This window comes from Homo sapiens, chromosome 7 (assembly GCF_000001405.40).
Source record: "Homo sapiens chromosome 7, GRCh38.p14 Primary Assembly".
In the NCBI taxonomy this organism is placed as follows: domain Eukaryota; kingdom Metazoa; phylum Chordata; class Mammalia; order Primates; family Hominidae; genus Homo; species Homo sapiens.
The window spans coordinates 41,928,361-41,933,838 of record NC_000007.14 but is presented as its reverse complement, the minus strand read 5'-3'; the positions used below and the strand labels follow the sequence as shown (position 1 = coordinate 41,933,838).

At 41.0% G+C, this 5,478-nt stretch overlaps 1 long non-coding RNA gene across 1 annotated transcript; it reads left to right on the top strand.

The window, feature by feature from the left end:
* Positions 1 to 248: 248 nt before the first annotated feature.
* Positions 249 to 4,242, top strand: LOC124901618 (uncharacterized). The gene is made up of 2 exons (XR_007060294.1): positions 249 to 463; positions 3,850 to 4,242. It is a non-coding gene; the product is annotated as an uncharacterized LOC124901618 (long non-coding RNA).
* The last annotated feature ends 1,236 nt before the right edge of the window (positions 4,243 to 5,478 follow it).

Sequence of the window (5,478 nt, the reverse complement as noted above, 5' to 3'; positions counted from 1 at the left end):
GTCAGGGGGCAGGGCTTTCACAAAGACTAACTCTTCCTTATTCTCCTTGATCTAGCACCCCCAGGATCCAGGCCCATAGATACTCTCCTGGCCTCTCTTAGTACAGGTTGATTATGTCTTATAGCTCTTCTAAGGTTGTTCTAGTCACCTATTGTTGCATAACAAACCATTCCAAATTCAGTGGAGTATAACAATGGTCTTTCATTATTACTATCTTTCCACAGCTCTAGGGGTTGACTGGGCTTGGCTAAGCAGTCCTTGTTCTGGGTCTCATGCGGTTAGGAGTCAGACACTGGCTGGGGCTGGGTTCATCAGATCACTGCACTATTCTTTTATTTATCAAATATTTATTGACTCTCTATTTTGTGTGAAGCGCCGCTAAGCGGTGAAGATACAATAGTTATTACAGCATAATTCTAGTCTCCTTGGGACAGGATGCCATCTTTAAGAATCTCAGTAGGTGGTAAGTGCTAAAAAATAGTATGAAAGAGCATTATGGACTCATGGAGTCAAACATGGAAGGCTTCCTGGAGTTGGTGACTTATGAGGGGACTCAAGTAAGTGTTGACGAGACGGGGAAAAAAGGATCTTGCTAAGTAGTCTGGGGGTGGGTGTGGGGGGGAATGCTAATGTGAGAAGATCTTAAAGATGGTGACTTTTTCCAGGCCCTTCAAGTTGTTTGCTGTGGTTGGGACACAGGGAGTTCATGAAAGACAGAGGTACTTGGAGCAATACCCAGGGACAGGAACACAAGGGGTTTTTAAATGCCCTCCTAAGGAATGTTGACTTTATTCTGCAGATGATGGGAGCCATGAAAGGATTGTGAGAAGGAAAATGACATAATAAGCTTTCTATTTTTAAAACGTCAGTGCCATGTGGAAGGAACAAAGGAAGGAGTGAAGGCTGGAGAGGAAGGAGGCCAGGTAGCAAGAAGGTCATTGCAAAAGTCTAGGTAAAAGACATAAGGCAGCTTTGGTGGAAATGAAGAGGCAAGTACAGATTTAGGAGCTGAGGGATTACACGTGTGGGGTGACCTCCTGATTTTTGAATTGTGTATTGTTAGATGGTGGTGGCTTTAATTAAGATAGCAGTCAGAGGAAAATAAAATTTTAGAGTACTTTGTTTTTGACATTTGCATTTGAGGTATTTGTAGGACACCATGGTAGATATGTCTAATAAATAGTGAGATGTATGATGCCTGGGTATATTCATTTAGGAGCTAACATTTTGCTGATTGTTGAAGCTAAGGACTTGAATGGTGTAACTTAGGCCAGGTCTTAATTCTGGAGCAAGGATCTGCAGTAACATAGAATCTGTGTGTCAATGTTCTCCAGCCAAAGACCACCAAAGGCTTGGGTTTATTACTCATTGCAGTAAGGAAAAACATGTATCCTGGAGAACTGTGGGGTGTCTCCATAAGATGGTATTAGAAAGGACTTATGATAAGACTTTGGCTGTAGTTGGGTGATTTAAGGTGGGTTTAAGAAAGCAGGGGTTTGTTCTAGATTGGGTGCTGTCAGAAAACAAGGGCAACCCAAATGTCTATCAGTTAATGAACGGATAAACAAAATATGGTATATCCATTGAAATAATATTGAAATACATGTTGAATACCATTTTCCCGTAAAAAGGAATGCTATACTGATAAATGCTATAACATGGATGAACCTAAAACACTATACCAACTGACAGAAGCCAGCCCTCCCTCTGTCCCCCACACAGAAATAACATGTATTATTAGATTCCCTTTATGGGGAATGTTCAGAATGGGAAAATATACAGAGAGACAAAGTTGATTAGTGGTTGCTTAGGGTTGGGGGAATGAGCCGATTGGGGGTTATTGATAAGGGGTGCAGGGTTTCTTTTGCAGGAGATGAAAATGTTCGAAAATTCATTCTTATGATGGTTGAACAATTCTAAATATACTGGAAAAATCATCGAATTGAGCACTTTAAATAGGTAAATTGTATGCTGTATGAATTATTAACATATCTTAATAAAGCTGTTACCAAAAATAAGTGAAAAGAAAGCAGAGACAATTCTATGGCTGAGTATCTAAATAAATCTTCTCTATAGAAATGGAAGATGAGAGAGTGAGGATCCAGCTGTAATTGATAAAGAAGTAATTGAAAACATCTTTCATATTTGCTGGGGTAGGGGGTAGGTGCAGCATTTTGTTAGTTACATGGTCACCTTGTTTTTGTCTGTGATTATTATGGTCTCAAAGTGCTCTTGTCTGATGTTGGTGTTTCTGGTGTTCTGTGAGATGGTTCATATACGACAGGAGGATAAGACATCCTCCATCTTCCATGTGAGCACCAGCAACCTTCTCAGCACAGAGGCCCTGCTCCGAGAGTCAGACAAGTTCCTGAGTCTCACGGGCTGCTTTTTTTCTTTCCCACACAGATCCTCTGGGGTGCTGTGGGGTCATTACAGTGGGCTGGGGATCCCCCGAAGTCGTGTGTAACATTTCAGATGTAAGAGTGTGAATTTTACAGTGACAAAATCCATAGATTCATCAGATTTCTTGAATTGATTGGTCGCCAGAAAAGATTAAAAACCATTGGTTAGAATTAAAATGTGAAAAAGAATAAATATGAAACTCTGAATGTCCAGGCATTTTAGAAGCAGTTGTAGAAAGAGGATCTATTAGCAGTGGAGCTGAGAAACTGTGGTGAGGGAAAGAGGAAAGAAACCAAGAAAGACTAGTACCTGAAGCCCCGGGAGGAGGGTTTCAAGATGGAGCCGATGCCTGCCTTGTCAAGAGCCACAGAAAGGTCAAGAAAGGTCAAAACAAACTTATTTGAATTAATTAAACAGTTATATCTTGAGGATGAGCCATCAGAGTGGAACACTAACCCAAGAGATATTTTTGTTAGAGAATAGGGTTCCATTTTCCCTGAATGGTTTAGTCATTGACTTGCACGAAATACCTTATGCTTTTCAGAAGCTTTGGGTCTGTGCATTTAAGGAGTCACACACCCTTACCCAGAGCCAGAGTCAGAATGCAAAGGTCACTGGTCTCTGTGAGTTACTACAAAATCAAGGAAGAGTGTGGAAGCCTCCCCCAAGTCTATCCCCAAACCAGCTCCCTGACTCACCCCATCCATTCTTCAACGAGCTTTGAAGGGTGACAGCAAATGGAAAAATTTTAAATTCCCAACTGAGTGTTTTCTGAAGCATTCACCAAGGAAACAGGAAGTTGCACACCTCATAGGTCTGTGTCTTTGGCTTATGAATGTGTTCCTTCCTTACAGCCAGAAAAAATTTGCTCACAGCTCTGTTTGATCTGAAAAAAGTCAGAAATGAGTTTTCCCAAAAATTAGTGGTCTCTGCCAGTTCCTCCTAATTGACCACATGGTTCTCTGCTTTTACCTGAGTTCATTTCACATGGGGAGTAGTGTGTGTATGTGGGAGGATTAACACTTGGAATATTTTGGCACCAACTCTGACTACAACTAACGACCCAGATGCAGGTGGGAATCTATTACTTGCTACTCAACTTTTCTTAAATCCAGAATATTAGAAAGATTCTGCAGAAATAGTCATATCAATAAATAATATTTACTGAACACTTACTATTTTCCAAGCAAGTTTTTACAGATATCAGCTTATTTAATCTTTAAAACTCTATTCTGTACATGCTATTGTTATTGCCATTTGGAAGATAAGAAATTGAGGGATGGAAAATTTAACTATATATACTATTATCTATTTCATAAGTATTATAAAACAACCCAATTGTCACATAAAAATGATATTTATGAGTTTTTGAATAAACATGGAAATTGACCTTTCCAGTCTTTAAACTTGAAACTTACACTTGTTTCATCTGAGTTTCTTCCTCAGGAAACCCACTCTCAGGCAAGGGACTGAAACTCGCCAGATTGCTACTCCCAGACAACGAGAAGACAGACCCCTCATTTGTCGTGATTACTTCCTTATCTCTCCTTCAATCCTTCCTGCATGTAGCTACCTTCCTTCCCCCACCGTACAAACCCCCCAAGTCGGGGGGATGAATTTGAGACTCCTCTCCCATTCTCCTTGTTGACATCACCTGAACAAAGCCTTTCTTTCCTGGCGATACTCATTGTCTCAGCGATTGGCTTTCTGTGCAGTGAGCAATGGGACCTAGACTGAATGCCTGGTGCTCTGGTAACAATTACATAAGTCTATTCTATAAGAAATGCCATTACTATATATTTCCATATCATCTATTTAATAAATACCATTATTATTCCATCTCCTGGTTTCTTATTCCCTCCAGCCACTTGTCTATGGCTGGTTGGGAAAGGATGATCTATGACCTAAAGAGAGTTCTTTGATATTCAAAGACCTGAAAGAGGATTGTTCTCATGGTGGGAAGGTGTATGAGGGGCAGTGTTTGTGGGGTGGATGGGCTGGGAGAGAAGCTGAGTTTGCTAAGAATTTCTGATCTGACTTATGGATGGACAGACACTCAAAAGCTGACAGGTGTGGTGAGGGCCGGAATTGCCCACCGGAGCCCAGAGCCACAGGTTATCCAGAACAGGTCTCTGTGGGTGGTGAAGAAGGCAAGGAGTGCCTCAGGCTCTTTGGATTCTGCCCCCTTTTTGACCTCCCCAGGACACTTGCTCATCTGTTCCCATTTTAAGTCCCCACCCCCAACCTTTGCAATTTTTCCTATAGTTTGTCCTCTTCTGGGGAAATATTCTTAGTTGTTATCAAACTGGAAAGGATCTGATAAAGCAGTTTACATTAGCAGACCAAATTTGGCTCCCTCAGTTACTTACTCTCTTAGTATTAAAACATTGCTAATTCAAAGGCATTCCTATTCCTCACAGCAGGACCACAGACATCTGCAATGGGTTGGGCCAGTGGTATTGGGGAGTGCAGGGTGGGAGGAGAGAGCCCCAATTAGGGGATCTTTACAGCAGCCTCCTTTGTGCCTCACATCCTGGAATCTTCTTGTTCTGGATATCACATCCTGGAGCCAGTGGGAAGAGGATGGTTACCATTCCAGTAAATTTTCCGTTTTATTTTTCAATCTGTTGTGGGTTTCAATGATGTAAACTCTAACTGAGCGTCTAAAAGCTGTTGTTTATAAATCTGCCAGACATAATGATAACACTGACAGCTGAATATCTACATATATATATATGTACACACAGATATATATATATACACATATACATACACATATATGTGCGTGTAAGTATTATATAACATGCAAAAACACCAGTGGACCTCACTTTGGGTCTGAAAGTGCTGTGGGGTTAACTGTCAGCTGAAGGGACTGGGATATCAGGATGTGGGCATAGATACCCTAAACAGATGCCTTTTGGAGATAGAGGGCATGGATGAAAAATATATATAGATATATAGATATACAGGCTAATAGGGAAATACAGAGAAAAAGTAAATATCTCCCATATTACTAGATGGGGAAGTGAAGATGTTTCCCAGGCAGAAGTAAGGCACTCCATAGCAGCTGACCTG